At 39.7% G+C, this 18,344-nt stretch overlaps 1 annotated feature.

The window, feature by feature from the left end:
• Window positions 372–441: a silencer, noted in NCBI's record as "silent region_4471". NCBI's record gives its function as "represses an Ori minimal core promoter by ATAC-STARR-seq in GM12878 lymphoblastoid cells {active_cell/tissue: GM12878}" and the evidence as "EXISTENCE:reporter gene assay evidence [ECO:0000049][PMID:35858748]".

An 18,344-nucleotide genomic window follows, 5' to 3' on the forward strand; every position in this document is an offset into this window, starting at 1 on the left:
ATGCATAGAGAGTTATCACTTTCTTCCTTGTCCCTTCCACTGAGTATTGTGCTGGAGCCAGCTTGTCCTGGCTTACAAGAGCCCATTCTGTACACCTCTGTAGGTAGCTTGAATACAGTGGGAGTATTTACACCAAGGAAACGCCAGTGTTACAAAGCAGGACTTTTGCAGGTTGTTTTGCGTGGATCTGGTTTCCCGCCCACTACGGCCTCTGCTTTGTCTACTCCCCACTCCAGCAGGTAACCCATGTCACTGGTTTCTGGTTTAATTTGCCTGTGTCTTTTTGTAAAAAATAAGCAAATATGTGTTTGTTTTCTCATTTCCTCTTTTTTTAACACAAAATTGATGTACTATACATGCTCTTTTGCATTTAGCAATTCAATCTGTAGCGATCATCTCCATTCTTTCTACAGCTGCATAGTGCTCTGTGTGTGACTGTACTGTAGTTTATTCAACCAATCTCCTACTTTGGGGCATTTACACGGTTTCCAGTAATTTGCAGTTACACATAATGCTGCAATAAATAACCCTGTGCCTATGTAGTTTTGTATTGTTGGAGGGGTCTCTTGAATTTAAATTCCTAAAAGTGGGATTGCTGGGCCAACTAGCAGTTCTATTAGATATTGCCAACTTCCTCTGCATAGTGCTGTACTATTTTGTGTTTTTACCAGCAATGTAGGAGAGTGCCTGTATCCCCATGACCTTGCCAATCACGTATGTTGCTGAGCTTTCAAATTTGTGCTAATCTTATGGATGAGGAATGGTATCTCAGTGTAGTTTCAAATGCATTTCCCTTATTATGAGTGAACTGAACACATTTTCCTGCAAAAGATATGGTACAGACTCTTGCTCCTGCCGGACAAATCCTTGCATTTGTAGAGCCCATTCTTGTCTGACCAAGCCTTGTTCTCTCCCTGAGAGAATCTGACGGGCCCCACCTGTCTGTGAATTAGTTGTCAACACAGCTGTACTCAGCTCTGATCAGCTGCCTAGGCCTGTTCAGTGATAGGGGATTGGGGGTTGAGGGAATTCTCAAAAGTGGGTGTGGAAAGAGCAGAAACTGTAAGTATGAAAGATGCTGAGTGAAAATCAGCTCTAAAATGTGTGTTGGAGCCAAGATGGCCCTTTTGCTAAGGCTGCTGTCAGACAATTCCATCATTCAATACATATTTTTTGAGTAACTACTATTCGTAAAGTACTGATATAGGCACCATAGAAGAGACTTTTTTTGTATTAAAAATGTATTACAGAACATCTCAAACATATACAAAAGTAGAGAAAATATATAATGAAGTTTGATGGACTCATGACCCTGCTATCTATCCATGCACAACTATCAACTCACTTCCATTTTTTTCCATCTATATACCATATGCCTCCCTCCCCATGGCTTTAAATCATCTCACCTGTAAATATGTTACCCTGATTCTCCAACAGATAAGAACTCACAACTATAAGAACATAACCACAACATCATCATACCTTAAAACTTAACAGTCCGCCGGGTGCAGTGGCTCAGTCTGTAATCCTAGCACTTTGGGAGGCTGAGGCAGGCGGATCACCTGATGTTGGGAGTTCAAGACCAGCCTGACCAACATGGAGAAACCCCGTCTCTGCTAAAAATACAAAATTAGCCAGGCATGGTGGCGCATGCCTATAATCTCAGCTACTCGGAGGCTGAGGCAGGAGAATCGCTTGAACCCGGGAGGTGGAGGTTGCAGTGAGCTGAGATTGTACCACTGCACTCCAGCCTGGGCAACAAGAGTGAAACTCTGTCTCAAAAAACAGAAAAAAAAATTAACAATAATCGCTTAATAGCAAGTATTCACTCAGATTAGGTTTGCATGTTTGTTTATTTTTAGTTTGTTTGAATCATCACCCAAAGGTCAATATATTGCAATTGATTTCTATGTCCCTCAAGTTTCTTTTAACTTGTAGCTTCTTGCCTTCCTTTCTCTCTCTCCTTTCCCTTGTAATTTGTGTGTTGAGGAAACCATGTCATTTGTCCCATCAGGATTTTGCTGATGGCGTGCCCCTGTGTTGTTATTTAAAATAGTCCTCCATATCCTCTATTTCTTTTAAGTTCATATTTGATGGAGGAGGGCATGACTTTTCAGACAGGCACAAAATGTACGGTTGTCTCTCCTTTTGAGATGTCAGCCAGCATGTTTGATCTATTATTCGTTCTTGAGGGCAGGGGTCCCCAGGCCCTGGGCCATGGACTGGTACCTGTCTGTGGCCTGTTAGGAACTGGGCTGCACAGCAGGACGTGAGCAGCTGGTGAGTGAGTGAAGCGTCATCTGTATTTACAGCTGCTCCCCATTATGTGAGTTACTGCCTGAGCTCCGCCTGCTGTTAGATCAGCTGCGGCATTAGATTCTCATAGAAGTGCAAACCCTATTGTGAACTCCGCATGCGAGAGATCTAGGTTGCACACTCCTTATGAGAATCTAATGCCTGATGATCTTTCACTGTCTTTCATCACCCCCAGATGGGACCATCTAGTTGCAGGGGAACCAGCTCATGGCCCCCACTAATTCTACATTATGGTGAGTTATATAATTATTTCATTATATATTATAATGTAATAATAATAGAAATAAAATGCACAATAAATGTAATGCACTTGAATCATTCTGAAACCATACCCTGCCCTGTCTGTGGCAAAATTGCTTTCCATGAAATCAGTCCCTGGAACCAAAAAGGTTGGGACTGTTGCTTAGGGGATACAAAATGGTGATATTTTAATTCTATTATTCCTTCTTTATTTATTAGCTGAAATATTTCCACAAAGGGAAACTTCTCAATAGCTATTTGGTTATCCATATTTCTAGTTCCCATTGGAAAGGCTGGATAAATGCTTGAATCTTTCCCTGTTTTTACCAGTTTTCAACACAAGAATTGGTTCCCTACCATGGAAAATACAAATTGAATCCAACATGGATCCTGCCCTCAAGGAGCTTCCCATCTAGTAGGGGGATAAGACATGTAGACAGAAGTGATGAGAGAAGCCAAGAGGGGCAGAGGACTATGGGCACACGCAGAGGATTCAAGATTATTTGTAGTACCACTATTCAAAATAAGCCTGAAGTGGAAACAACCCAAATATCAGCAGCAGAAGAGATAAAGGAATTGTGGTATATTCATGGAATAAAATAACATACAGCAGTGAAAACAAGTAAGCTAAAGCTATACACGATAACTTCAAAAAATTTCACAAACATATTGAGTGAAAGAAGGCAAAAGTAAAATAATATATACTATATTATTCTATTGACATACAAAGCTTTAAAATGGGCAAAACTAATCTATGGTAGTTTTGGTCAGAACTACCTAGAGGTTCTAACCTCTAGGTCAGAAAAGTGGTTATCTTTGAGGATCAGAGTGGAGTTAGCGACATTGAGGGACCCACAGAGGATTTCTGAAATGCTACTAATGTTCTACTTCATAACCTGGGTGGTGCTCACCTTGTGATAATTCATTGAACTGTATATTTATAGTGTTTGCATGTTTTTGTATGTAGACTTCACTCTAAAAGTTAATTTTAAAAGAGTTGCATCCTGGGGCGGTGGCTCACGCCTGTAATCCCAGCACTTTAGGAGGCCGAGGTAGGTGGTTCGCCTGAGGTCAGGAGTTCAAGACCAGCTTGGGCAACATGGTGAAACCCTGTCTCTACTAAAAATACAAAAATTAACCAGGCATGGTGGTGGACGCCTGTAGTCCCAGCTACTCAGGAGGCTGAGGCACGAGAATCGCTTGAACCTGGGAGGCAGAGGTTTCAGTGAGCAGAGATTGTGCCACTGCACTCCAGCCTGGGTGACAGAGCAAGACTCCAACTCAAAAAAAAAAAGAGTTGGATCTTACATTCTTAGGGAAGTAAAGCTGCAGAGAGGTGTGATGGAATTAGGGTAGATTATATATGGAGGGATTCTTTTAGTTTCAAAGTAGCTGTCACATTTCTCAAGCAAAACATTGCAACATACAAGATATTTTATATACCATGCAAAGAAATGCATGGTATATAAAATGGTACCTGAAAGATGAAAATAAAACTAGTTCTTAGATTTAAGCAAATCTCAGATACCACTTACCATTAAATGCATCGTTATTCTATAAACCATTAAGAGGGGAAAAAAATGCTGTCAGTTAAGTATGAAGCAATGTCTTAACGATGGTCCTGGGCGATGCAGGAATTGATTATGTATCAGCTTCTTGCTGCCTTGAGATTTCTTTGATTTATTTCAAGGGATTTGGCAGATTTCCCTACCTTCAGTTGCCTTGGCTTATGATAGACCTTGCTTTTGCGTGTATTTCAGCAGCAAATGGAACACCAGTTCATCTAAGTATGGGTCTCTTCCTTTCTTAGGTCCTATATAACTTTTTGTTGGTCTTTACAAGACAATTTGGAATTTTGGCCATTCCTCCAAAGTGAAATGTCTGCTTTATCACTATCAATCCCCCCCTGCTGCTGTATTTCCCTGCCTTTCTGTGACTACAGTAACCCTTGGTTGCAATGAGCAATCATTTAAAAGACATTTTAAGCAGCAATCAAACTCATCGATGGTGATGCCAATATAATAGCTATGGCCAAGTTCACACAAGGGAAGGCAGTGACACAGCTGCTGCCTGGCCAACAGCGGCTGGAAGAGGCTTCTCGATTTCAGAGATGTTAAGATGTGAAAAAATATGCATCCTAGAATTGATGAATCAGTGTGTTGAAGGAAAAGGCAAAGTCAGAAAATTACTATTTACAGAGTTAGAGGAAGTCTTACATACTTGCATAATTTGGGCTGAAAATAAGCAGTGATGTATTTCAAGGACTTAGAAGAAAATCAGGGAATAGGCCAAATGAAAATAACATAGTTTGCCTAAAATAAATATACTATGCTTGATGGAGGTTGGTATTAATTAACTTGATAGAGAGAAGATGACTGCTCTCCCTTTCTGCTGGGGAGGCAAGGTGATATAACTTAGAGCAGTGGAATGCTGGTGAATATTAGCAAATGTGCATGGAGATGTAGTTTTTCCAGAGAGCTAGTTTATTATGTTTATTAAAAATTTTTTCCTGAGAACTGATTTAATAGATGTTAATTATAAATTTTACTGACGTAAAAGATGTGCAGCACACAATTCACAAATAATGTTAAATACAGACATGCCTCAAAGATAGTTCAGGTTCAGTTCCAGACCAACGCAATAAGGTGACTGTTGCAACAAAGTGAGTCCGTGAACTTTTTGGTTTCTCAGTGCATATAAAAATTATATTTACACTATATTGTAGTCTGTTAAATGTGCAGCATCATATGTCTAAAAAACAATGTACATACTTTAATTTAAAAATACTTTATTGCCAAAAATGTCATCTGAGCTTTCAGTGAGTCATCATCTTTTTGGTGATGGAGGGACTCACCTTGTTGAGGGCTGCTGACTGATGAGGGTGATGGTTGTTGAAGGTGTGTGTGGCTGTGGCAATTTCTTAAAATATGATGACAATGAAGTTTGCCATATCAACTAACTCTTCCTTTCATGAAATATTTCCCTGTAACATGCAATGCTGTTTGATAGCATTTTACCTACAGTAAAATTTTTAAAATTGGAGTCAATCCTCTCAAACACTGCCAATACTTTATCAACTTAAGTTTATGGGATATTCTAAACCCTTTATTGTCATTTCAACAATGTTCACAGCATCTTCACCAGGAGTAGATTCCATCTCAACAAACCACTTTCTTTGCTCATCCATCCTAAGTAGCAACTCCTCATTTGTTCAGTTTTTATCATGAAATTGCAGCAATTCAGTCACGTTTTCAGGCTTTACTTCTAATTCTAGTTTCCTTGCCATATTCACCACATCTGCAATTTCTTCCTCCATTAACATCTTGAACCTCTCAAAGTCATCCATGAGGGTTAGAATTTACTTCTTTCAAACTCCTGTTGATGTTGGTATTTTGACCTCCTTCCACGGATGACAGATGTTCTTAATGGCTTCTAGAATAGTGAATGCTTTCCAGAAGGTTTTCAATTTATGTTGCTCAAATCAATCAGAGGAATCAGTATCTATGGCAGCCATAGTCTTACAAAATGCATTTCCTAAATAATAAGACTTGAAGGTTGAAATTGCTCCTTGATTCATGGGCTCCAAAATGGATGTTGTGTTAGCTGGCATGAAAACAACATGAATCTCCTTGTACATCTCCATCAGAGCTCTTGGGTGACCACATGTATTGTGAATAAGCAGTAATATTTTGAAAATAATCTTTTTTTTTCTGAGCAGTAGGTCTCAACAGTGGGCTTAAAATATTTAGTAAACCATGCTGTCAACAGATGTGCTGTCATCCAGGCTTTGTTATCCCATGTATAGAGCATAGCCAGAGTAGATTTAGCATCATTCTTAAGGAGCCTGGGATTTTCAGAATGGCCAATGAGCACTGGCTTAAACTCAGAGTCACCAGCTACATTAGCCCCTGGCAAGAGAGTCAGCCTGTCTTTTGAAGCTTTGAAGCCAGGCATTGTCTTCTCCTCTCTAGCTGTGACAATCCTAGATGGCATCTTCTTCCAATAGAAAGCTGGTTCTTTACACTGAAGACCTGTTGTTTAGTGTGGCCATCTTCATCAATGATCTTGGCTGGATCTTCTGGATAACTTGCTACAGCCTCTTTATCAGGACTTGCTGCTTCTCCTTGTACTTCTATGTTCTGGAGATGGTTTCTTTCCTTAAACCTCATGAGTTTAAGGAAACTGTGCTAGCTTCCAACTTTTCTCCTGCAGGTTCCTCACCTCTCTCAGCTTTCATAGAATTGAAGAGAGTTATTGCCTTGCTCTGGATTGGGCTTTGGCTTAAGAAAATGTTGTGGCTGGTTTGATCTTCTATCCAAACCACTGATACTTTCTCCATATCAGCAATAAGTCTGTTTAGCTTTCTTAACATTCATTTGTTCACTGGAGTAGCACTTTTAATTTCCTTCAATGACTTTTTTGTTGCATTCACAACTTGGCTAACTGGTGAAAAAGGCTTAGATTTCAGCCTGACTCAGCTTTTGACATGCCTTCCTCACTTAGCTCAATTATCTCTAGCTTTTGATTTAAAGTGAGAGACGTTCAAGTGAAAGGAATGTTTTTTCTTTCACTTGAACACTTAGAGGACATTGTAGGACTATCAGCTGGACTAATTTCAGTATTGTTGTGTCTCAGGAAATAGGGAGGCCTGAGGAAAGGGAGAGAGATGGGGGAACAGCCGGTCACTGGAGCAGCCAGGGCATACAATATTTATGGATTAAGTTCGCCATCTTATCTACGTGCAGGTCCTGGTGCCCAAAACAATGACAATAGTGACATCAAAGATCACTGATCACAGATCACCATAACAGATATAATAATAATGAAAAAGTATGAGAATTGGGAGCATTGCTAAAATGTGACACCAAGACACACAGTGAGCACATGCTTTTGGGAAAATGGCATCAGTAGACTTGCTTGATGCAGGGCTGCCGCAAACCTTTGATTTGTGAAAAACATGATATCTGCAAAGCACAAGAATAGGAAGGATGTCTGTATGTAATGCTCTATTGTAAATGACCATATAGCCATTTGATTCTCACAGAATGCTTTTGTTGATATTTTTCCTGAAATCTGTATCCATAACTAACCTATAGTTGCAACTGACAAATGAGTACAGTTCTGATGTGAATGTTGGTTGATTTTTTTTTACATTAATAAATAAAATCAAAGTGGAAGAGAAAAGACATATTGGAACTTCACTCACTTGTCAACGACATGAGTGACTTTGCTGAATTGATTAACAGTTTTCTAATTCTAGAAGACTATTTCTTCAGCGTTTTTGTGTTATGCAAAATGGAACAGCTATAGACATGACAGACTTTTAAGTTTAATCTATAGACATTACACACTTTCAAGTTTAATCTGTAATGTTAATAATAAAGATTATCTTTAAAAATCTGTATTATTAACATTTTCCTACCACTTTCTTAACTCTAGCTAATCCACACTATGCCAAACCAAGCTGTAATTTGTAACATGTGCCAATTGCTACATTGTAAATACTCTTATCTTGGCCAATTTCAAGCTAGGATTGTGACCTTATTGGATGTGGAGTTGGGAAGAGATGTTCAGCAGCACAGTGATATATCATGTTTCTACCATGTAGATGGAAGAGGTGTAAGTCAACTTAGGAGCACAGACAATAGTCAAAGGTAGTAATAATAACTAAGAAATGATACACTTTGAATATTTATTACCTTGTTTTAAATACAACTTACTTAATTGTAAGTTTACATCATTTAATTTTTAGTAGTGGCTGTGTTTAACAAATGCTCACAGGCCGGGTGTGGTGGCTCACACCTGTAATCCCAGCATTTTGGGAGGCTGAGACAGGAGAATCACTTGAACCCGCGAGGTGGAGGTTGCAGTGAGCTGAGATCATACCACTGCACTCCAGCCTGAGTGATAGAGCAAGACTCTGTCTTGGGAAAAAAAAAAAAAAACCCTCACAAAATTCCTGAAATTTTAACTATCAGGTCTTGCAAGCCTTTATAAGTCAGCTCCAGCATACCTCTGCTTTGGAGTCAGACAACTTTAGGTTTAAATTTAACTTTACCAGTTCCTTGCTCTCCAACCATGGACAATATAAGTAGCCTCTTCAAGCCTCATTATTTCTGTAATAAGGCTAATAACACCTGCATCATAGAGTTGAGTGAAGATGAAACAAGATAAACTTTGTGACATGCCAAAATCAATGCAAAGTAGGAACCCAATATTAAATTCCTTCCCCACTCTCTGGTCTTTTTCTTGTCTCATCCATCCTGAATACTGCTTATTAAACAGAGATAATGACATGTCATTCCTCTGACTTACAGTGGTCTTAAGCACACACTGCAGTTTGCTATCAAAGTCCACATCTCACCAATCTCATTTTTTCATTTCTCCCCAGGAGGTTGTCTATGCCCCAATCACAGATCTGATGGTGTCTCCCACATAGTCCCCATAGTCCCTGGGGATCCCATCTCTACACCTTTGCTCATGGTGTTCCTTCCCATTGACTTCTTTGTAACATCTGTGCCACTTTCTTCCTTCCTCATCCAAACATACCTCCATGAGATTCCTCTTGTTAGTCCCATCTCATAATAGTATCTGACCTGTATTGAGCGCTGGGGATGTGCCAGGGGCTGTGCTAAGTGCTTTATCTGCATTATCCCAATTGGTTATTCCCATTTAAGGGTGACACAGAGGCACAGTGAGAGTACATAACTTGCCCAAGGTCATACACCTAAGTGGACAGTACAACTGGGATTCCAACACAGGTAAGTCTGACTCTAGAAGCTGGGCTCTTAGACATCATATCCGACTTGTTGCCTGAATAACTACCTTTTAAATAAATTACCTCTGTTTGGGCCGAGTGCGGTGGCTCATGCCTATAATCACAGCACTTTGGGAGGCTGAGGTGGGTGGATCACCTGAGGTCAGGAGTTTGAAACAAGCCTGACCAACATGGTGAAACCCCGTCTCTACTAAAAAATACAAAAGTGGCTGGGCGTGGTGGCACGTGCCTGTAATCCCAGCTGCTTGTGGGGCTGACGCAGAATTGCTTGAATCCAGGAGGCGGAGGTTGCAGTGAGCCGAGATCACGCCATTACACTCCAGCCTGGGCAACAAGAGCAAAACAGTGTCTCAGAAAAAAAGAAATTACCTCTGTTTAATGTTAATATATTTTGCTCCTGGCTTTTTTTCATGTCTATGTTTATATGTTTTATTGCATACCACCTTCTTGAGGGTGGAGGTATTCATTTATCAAATATTTGTAAAGTGCCTTCCCTATGTAACAGGTACTATACTAGGCATTGGGGAGAGGGCCAGTCCTTGGTTAAATAAGTTACAAAACACCCATAGAGTGGAATACTATGCAGCTATAACAAAGAATAAGGAGGCTGTTTATATATGAACATGGAAAGATTTCTAAGCTGTATTGTTAAATGAATATGAGTAAGGCCCAGAAGACATTGTATACTATGCCACCTTTTGTATAAAATATGAGAGACGGTTGAGTTGTGTGTGTGTGGCCAGCCATGGTGGTTCACGCCTTTAATCCCAGCACTTTGGGAGGCCAAGGCAGGCAGATCACGAAGTCGGGAGATGGAGACCATCCTGCCCAACATGGTGAAACCCCGTCTCTACTAAAAATACAAAAATTAGCTGGGCATGGTGGCGCATGCCTATAATCCCAGCTACTTGGGAGGTTGAGGCAGGAGAATCACTTGAACCTGGGAGGTGGAGGTTGCCATGAGCCAAGATCATGCCACTGCACTCTAGCCTGGTGACAGAGCAAGACTCTGTCTCAAAACAACAACAACAACAAAAAAAACAGAATTTTGTGTGTATGTATGTGTGTGTACTTGTTTAAAACAAAAAGACCCAGTCCTTATTATTATGTCCACATCCACGATGTTAGTGAATGACCGCGTGGAGCAAAGCCACTTCACACCCGTTCCTCCTGCTGCCCTGCGTGTTTATATGGGAAATAAAATTCTATTATGTTTAGCTACTGAGATTACAGTGTTTACCTGGTATTGCAGTTTGTATTATCCTCACTAATACCCCACTCTAGTATACAATTTTCATTTTTTCACAAACTAAAATTGTAAGTGACTCCTTCAGACGCTTAACAATTTATCTCACCTGATAATCATATTTTTGTATACTGACTGGAACACTTGCTGAAACAGATTCACAAATTGCTTTTTCTTTTCCTTTTTTTTCTTTTTTGAGACAGAGTCTTGCTGTCACCCAGGCTGGAGTGCAGTGGCGAAATCTTGGCTCTCTGCAACCTCCACCTCCCGGGTTCGAGCAATTCTCCTGCCTCAGCCTCCTGAGTGCACCACCATGCCCGGCTAATTTTTGTATTTTTGGTAGAGACAGGGTTTCACCATGTTGGCCAGGCTGGTCTTGAACTCCTGACCTCGTGATACCCCTGCCTCGGCCTCCAAAGTGCTGGGATTACAGGCATGAGCCACCATGCCCAGCCTTTATTTTTACCTAATGCTTGTGGTAGGCTCATCCACATCACAAAGCTGCATAGGCGTATGCAGGCATATGTGACATCTCACTCTCTAAGTGATCCAATATTTCCATTTTCTCACAAGAACTACATTTTCTTAGACTTTTAATGTCTGTCTGTAGTGTTAACAGCTGCCAGCTTTCCTCTTACTTTTCTTCTTTTTAAAATTTCACTTTGTTATGAGAGATATTATCATATACGCAGAAGAGTGCACAAAACAGAGAATACAGTTTTCAATAAAAAAGTGCAAAGTGAAGATTTGATAACCACCATCCAAGTCAAGAAACAGCACATTTCCAGCTCCAGGAAGCCCTCCCATCATCCCTTTCAAATTACCACAGAGGTAGACACTATCCTGACCTTGGGGATAAGCATTTCCTTGCTTTTCTTTATAGCTTTACCACCTATATGTGATCCCTAAATTATCTAGTGTATCTGTTTTTGAACTTTATAGGAAGGGAGTAATCAGATGTATTTTGTGCCTTATTTCTGTGTTCAACATTATGTTTGTGAGAGTCATCCACGATTCTTTGTGTAGATCTATTAATAGTGAATCCATTTTCATGGCTGTAGAGTAGTCCTTTCTGTGACCAGACTGCATTTCACTTATTTATTCTACTGTTGAAGTGCCTTTGACTATTGCAAACATTGCTTCTGTGATTCTTCTTTTGCATATATCCTAGTGCAGGTGAGCATGTGTTTCCTAAGGTATATGCCTAGGAGTGAACTTGTCAGCATGTGGCCTATGCCTATCTTCAGCTTTACTGGAGAATGCCATACTATTTTGCAAGTGGTTGTACCACTTCATGTGCCCACCAGTGGTATATGAAAGTTCTCCTTGCTCTGCATCTATGCCAACACTGGTGCTTTCAGATTAAAAAAAATTTTCAGTCAATCTGATAGGCATTTCATTTTGGTTTTAATTTGAATGTTTTTAAAGGTTTAAAAAGATTAAAGCCTCTTTTTAGGCTTATTGGCCATTTGGATTTTCTTTTTTATTTTATTTTATTTTATTATACTTTAAGTTTTAAGGTACAGGTGCACAATGTGCAGGTTAGCTACATATGTATACATGTGCCATGCTGGTGCGCTGCACCCATTAACTCGTCATTTAGCATTAGGTATATCTCCTAAAGCTATCCCTCCCCCCTCCCCCACCCCACAACAGTCCCCAGAGTGTGATGTTCCCCTTCCTGTGTCCATGTGTTCTCATTGTTCAATTCCCACCTATGAGTGAGAATATGCGGTGTTTGGTTTTTTGTTCTTGTGATAGTTTACTGAGAATGATGATTTCCAATTTCATCCATGTCCCTACAAAGGACATGAACTCATCATTTTTTATGGCTGCATAGTATTCCATGGTGTATATGTGCCACATTTTCTTAAACCAGTCTATCATTGTTGGACATTTGGGTTGGTTCCAAGTCTTTGCTATTGTGAATAGTGCCGCGATAAACATACGTGTGCATGTGTCTTTATAGCAGCATGATTTATAGTCCTTTGGGTATATACCCAGTAATGGGATGGCTGGGTCAAATGGTATTTCTAGCTCTAGATCCCTGAGGAATGGCCACACTGACTTCCACAAGGGTTGAACTAGTTTACAGTCCCACCAACAGTGTAAAAGTGTTCCTATTTCTCCACATCCTCTCTAGCACCTGTTGTTTCCTGACTTTTTAATGATCGCCATTCTAACTGGTGTGAGATGGTATCTCATTGTGGTTTTGATTTGCATTTCTCTGATGGCCAGTGATGGTGAGCATTTTTTCATGTGTTTTTTCGCTGCATAAATGTCTTCTTTTGAGAAGTGTCTGTTCATGTCCTTCGCCCACCTTTTGATGGGGTTGTTTGTTTTTTTCTTGTAAATTTGTTTGAGTTCATTGTAGATTCTGGATATTAGCCCTTTGTCAGATGAGTAGTTTGCGAAAATTTTCTCCTATTTTGTAGGTTGCCTGTTCACTCTGATGGTAGTTTCTTTTGCTGTGCAGAAGCTCTTTAGTTTAATTAGATCCCATTTGTCAATTTTGGCTTTTGTTGCCATTGCTTTTGGTGTTTTAGATATGAAGTCCTTGCCCATGCCTATGTCCCGAATGGTAATGCCTAGGTTTTGTTCCAGGGTTTTTATGGTTTTAGGTCTAACGTTTAAGTCTTTAATCTATCTTGAATTAATTTTTGTATAAGGTGTAAGGAAGGGATCCAGTTTCAGCTTTCTACATATGGCTAGCCAGTTTTCCCAGCACCACTTATTAAATAGGGAATCCTTTCCCCATTGCTTGTTTTTCTCAGGTTTGTCAAAGATCAGATAGTTGTAGATATGCGGCGTTATTTGTGAGGGCTCTGTTCTGTTCCATCGATCTATATCTCTGTTTTGGTACCAGTACCATGCTGTTTTGGTTACTGTAGCCTTGTTGTATAGTTTGAAGTCAGGTAGTGTGATGCCTCCAGCTTTGTTCTTTTGGCTTAGGATTGACTTGGCGATACGGGCTCTTTTTTGGTTCCATATGAACTTTAAAGTAGTTTTTTCCAATTCTGTGAAGAAAGTCATTGGTAGCTTGATGGGGATGGCATTGAATCTATAAATTACCTTGGGCAGTATGACCATTTTCATGATATTGATTCTTCCTACCCATGAACATGGAATGTTCTTCCATTTGTTTGTATCCTCTTTTATTTCATTGAGCAGTGGTTTGTAGTTCTGCTTGAAGAGGTCCTTCATGTCCCTTGTAAGTTGGATTCCTAGGTATTTTATTCTCTTTGAAGCAATTGTGAATGGGAATTCACTCATGATTTGGCTCTCTGTTTGTCTGTTATTGGTGTATAAGAATGCTTGTGATTTTTGTACATTGATTTTGTATCCTGAGACTTTGCTGAAGTTGCTTATCAGTTTAAGGAGATTTTGGGCTGAGACAATGGGGTTTTCTAGATATACAATCATGTCATCTGCAAACAGGGACAATTTGACTTCCTCTTTTCCTAATTGAATACCCTTTATTTCCTTCTCCTGCCTAATTGCCCTGGCCAGAACTTCCAACACTATGTTGAATAGGAGTGGTGAGAGAGGGCATCCCTGTCTTGTGCCAGTTTTCAAAGGGAATGCTTCCAGTTTTTGCCCATTCAGTATGATACTGGCTGTGGGTTTGTCATAGATAGCTCTTATTATTTTGAGATACATCCCATCAATACCTAATTTATTGAGAGTTTTTAGCATGAAGGGCTGTTGAATTTTGTCAAAGGCCTTTTCTGCATCTATTGAGATAATCATGTGGTTTTTGTCTTTGGTTCTGTTTATATGCTGGATTACATTTATTGATTTGCATATATTGAACCAGCCTTGCATCCCAGGGATGAAGCCCACTTGATCATGGTGGATAAGCTTTTTGATGTGCTGCTGGATTCATTTTGCCAGTATTTTATTGAGGATTTTTGCATCAATGTTCATCAAGGATATTGGTCTAAAATTCTCTTTTTTGGTTGTGTCTCTGCCCGGCTTTGGTATCAGGATGATGCTGGCCTCATAAAATGAGTTAGGGAAGATTCCCTCTTTTTCTATTGATTGGGATAGTTTCAGAAGGAATGGTACCAATTCCTCCTTATACCTCTGGTAGAATTCGGCTGCGAATCCATCTGGTCCTGGACTCTTTTTGGTTGGTAAGCTATTGATTATTGCCCCACCCAGAGCCTGTTATTGGTCTATTCAGAGTCAACTTCTTCCTGGTTTAGTCTTGGGAGAGTGTATGTGTCGAGGAATGTATCCATTTCTTCTAGATTTTCTAGTTTATTTGCGTAGAGGTGTTTGTAGTATTCTTTGATGGTAGTTTGCATTTCTGTGGGATCGGTGGTGATATCCCCTTTATCATTTTTTATTGCATCTATTTGATTCTTCTTTCTTTTCTTCTTTATTAGTCTTGCTAGCAGTCTATCAATTTTGTTGATCCTTTCAAAAAACCAGCTCCTGGATTCATTAATTTTTTGAAGGGTTTTTTGTGTCTCTATTTCCTTCAGTTCTGCTCTGATTTTAGTTATTTCTTTTTTTTTTTTTTTTAATTTTTTTTTTTATTATACTCTAAGTTTTAGGGTACATGTGCACATTGTGCAGGTTAGTTACATATGTATACATGTGCCATGCTGGTGCGCTGCACCCACTAACGTGTCATCTAGCATTAGGTATATCTCCCAATGCTATCCCTCCCCCCTCCCCCGACCCCACCACAGTCCCCAGAGTGTGATATTCCCCTTCCTGTGTCCATGTGATCTCATTGTTCAATTCCCACCTATGAGTGAGAATATGCGGTGTTTGGTTTTTTGTTCTTGCGATAGTTTACTGAGAATGATGGTTTCCAATTTCATCCACGTCCCTACAAAGGACATGAACTCATCATTTTTTATGGCTGCATAGTATTCCATGGTGTATAAGTGCCACATTTTCTTAATCCAGTCTATCATTGTTGGACATTTGGGTTGGTTCCAAGTCTTTGCTATTGTGAATAGTGCCGCAATAAACATACGTGTGCATGTGTCTTTATAGCAGCATGATTTATAGTCCTTTGGGTATATACCCAGTAATGGGATGGCTGGGTCAAATGGTATTTCTAGTTCTAGATCCCTGAGGAATCGCCACACTGACTTCCACAATGGTTGAACTAGTTTACAGTCCCACCAACAGTGTAAAAGTGTTCCTATTTCTCCACATCCTCTCCAGCACCTGTTGTTTCCTGACTTTTTAATGATTGCCATTCTAACTGGTGTGAGATGATATCTCATAGTGGTTTTGATTTGCATTTCTCTGATGGCCAGTGATGATGAGCATTTCTTCATGTGTTTTTTGGCTGCATAAATGTCTTCTTTTGAGAAGTGTCTGTTCATGTCCTTCGCCCACTTTTTGATGGGGTTGTTTGTTTTTTTCTTGTAAATTTGTTTGAGTTCATTGTAGATTCTGGATATTAGCCCTTTGTCAGATGAGTAGGTTGCGAAAATTTTCTCCCATGTTGTAGGTTGCCTGTTCACTCTGATGGTAGTTTCTTTTGCTGTGCAGAAGCTCTTGAGTTTAATTAGATCCCATTTGTCAATTTTGGCTTTTGTTGCCATTGCTTTTGGTGTTTTGGACATGAAGTCCTTGCCCATGCCTATGTCCTGAATGGTAATGCCTAGGTTTTCTTTTAGGGTTTTTATGGTTTTAGGTCTAACGTTTAAATCTTTAATCCATCTTGAATTGATTTTTGTATAAGGTGTAAGGAAGGGATCCAGTTTCAGCTTTCTACATATGGCTAGCCAGTTTTCCCAGCACCATTTATTAAATAGGGAATCCTTTCCCCATTGCTTGTTTTTCTCAGGTTTGTCAAAGATCAGATAGTTGTAGATATGCGGCATTATTTCTGAGGGCTCTGTTCTGTTCCATTGATCTATATCTCTGTTTTGGTACCAGTACCATGCTGTTTTGGTTACTGTAGCCTTGTAGTATAGTTTGAAGTCAGGTAGTGTGATGCCTCCAGCTTTGTTCTTTTGGCTTAGGATTGACTTGGCGATGCGGGCTCTTTTTTGGTTCCATATGAACTTTAAAGTAGTTTTTTCCAATTCTGTGAAGAAAGTCATTGGTAGCTTGATGGGGATGGCATTGAATCTGTAAATTACCTTGGGCAGTATGGCCATTTTCACGATATTGATTCTTCCTACCCATGAGCATGGAATGTTCTTCCATTTGTTTGTGTCCTCTTTTATTTCCTTGAGCAGTGGTTTGTAGTTCTCCTTGAAGAGGTCCTTCACATCCCTTGTAAGTTGGATTCCTAGGTATTTTATTCTCTTTGAAGCAATTGTGAATGGGAGTTCACTCATGATTTGGCTCTTTGTTTGTCTGTTGTTGGTGTATAAGAATGCTTGTGATTTTTGTACATTGATTTTGTATCCTGAGACTTTGCTGAAGTTGCTTATCAGCTTAAGGAGATTTTGGGCTGAGACGATGGGGTTTTCTAGATAAACAATCATGTCATCTGCAAACAGGGACAATTTGACTTCCTCTTTTCCTAATTGAATACCCTTTATTTCCTTCTCCTGCCTGATTGCCCTGGCCAGAACTTCCAACACTATGTTGAATAGGAGCGGTGAGAGAGGGCATCCCTGTCTTGTGCCAGTTTTCAAAGGGAATGCTTCCAGTTTTTGCCCATTCAGTATGATATTGGCTGTGGGTTTGTCATAGATAGCTCTTATTATTTTGAAATACGTCCCATCAATACCTAATTTATTGAGAGTTTTTAGCATGAAGGGTTGTTGAATTTTGTCAAAGGCTTTTTCTGCATCTATTGAGATAATCATGTGGTTTTTGTCTTTGGTTCTGTTTATATGCTGGATTACATTTATTGATTTGCGTATATTGAATCAGCCTTGCATCCCAGGGATGAAGCCCACTTGATCATGGTGGATAAGCTTTTTGATGTGCTGCTGGATTCGGTTTGCCAGTATTTTATTGAGGATTTTTGCATCAATGTTCATCAAGGATATTGGTCTAAAATTCTCTTTTTTGGTTGTGTCTCTGCCCGGCTTTGGTATCAGAATGATGCTGGCCTCATAAAATGAGTTAGGGAGGATTCCCTCTTTTTCTATTGATTGGAATAGTTTCAGAAGGAATGGTACCAGTTCCTCCTCGTACCTCTGGTAGAATTCGGCTGTGAATCCATCTGGTCCTGGACTCTTTTTGGTTGGTAAACTATTGATTATTGCCACAATTTCAGAGCCTGTTATTGGTCTATTCAGAGATTCAACTTCTTCCTGGTTTAGTCTTGGGAGAGTGTATGTGTCGAGGAATGTATCCATTTCTTCTAGATTTTCTAGTTTATTTGCGTAGAGGTGTTTGTAGTATTCTCTGATGGTAGTTTGTATTTCTGTGGGATCGGTGGTGATATCCCCTTTATCATTTTTTATTGTGTCTATTTGATTCTTCTCTCTTTTTTTCTTTATTAGTCTTGCTAGCGGTCTATCAATTTTGTTGATCCTTTCAAAAAACCAGCTCCTGGATTCGTTGATTTTTTGAAGGGTTTTTTGTGTCTCTATTTCCTTCAGTTCTGCTCTGATTTTAGTTATTTCTTGCCTTCTGCTAGCTTTTGAATGTGTTTGCTCTTGCTTTTCTAGTTCTTTTAATTGTGATGTTAGGGTGTCAATTTTGGATCTTTCCTGCTTTCTCTTGTAGGCATTTAGTGCTATAAATTTCCCTCTACACACTGCTTTGAATGCGTCCCAGAGATTCTGGTATGTGGTGTCTTTGTTCTCGTTGGTTTCAAAGAACATC

The sequence above is a fragment of the Homo sapiens genome, chromosome 12, assembly GCF_000001405.40.
Source record: "Homo sapiens chromosome 12, GRCh38.p14 Primary Assembly".
Classification (NCBI taxonomy): Eukaryota; Metazoa; Chordata; class Mammalia; order Primates; family Hominidae; genus Homo; species Homo sapiens.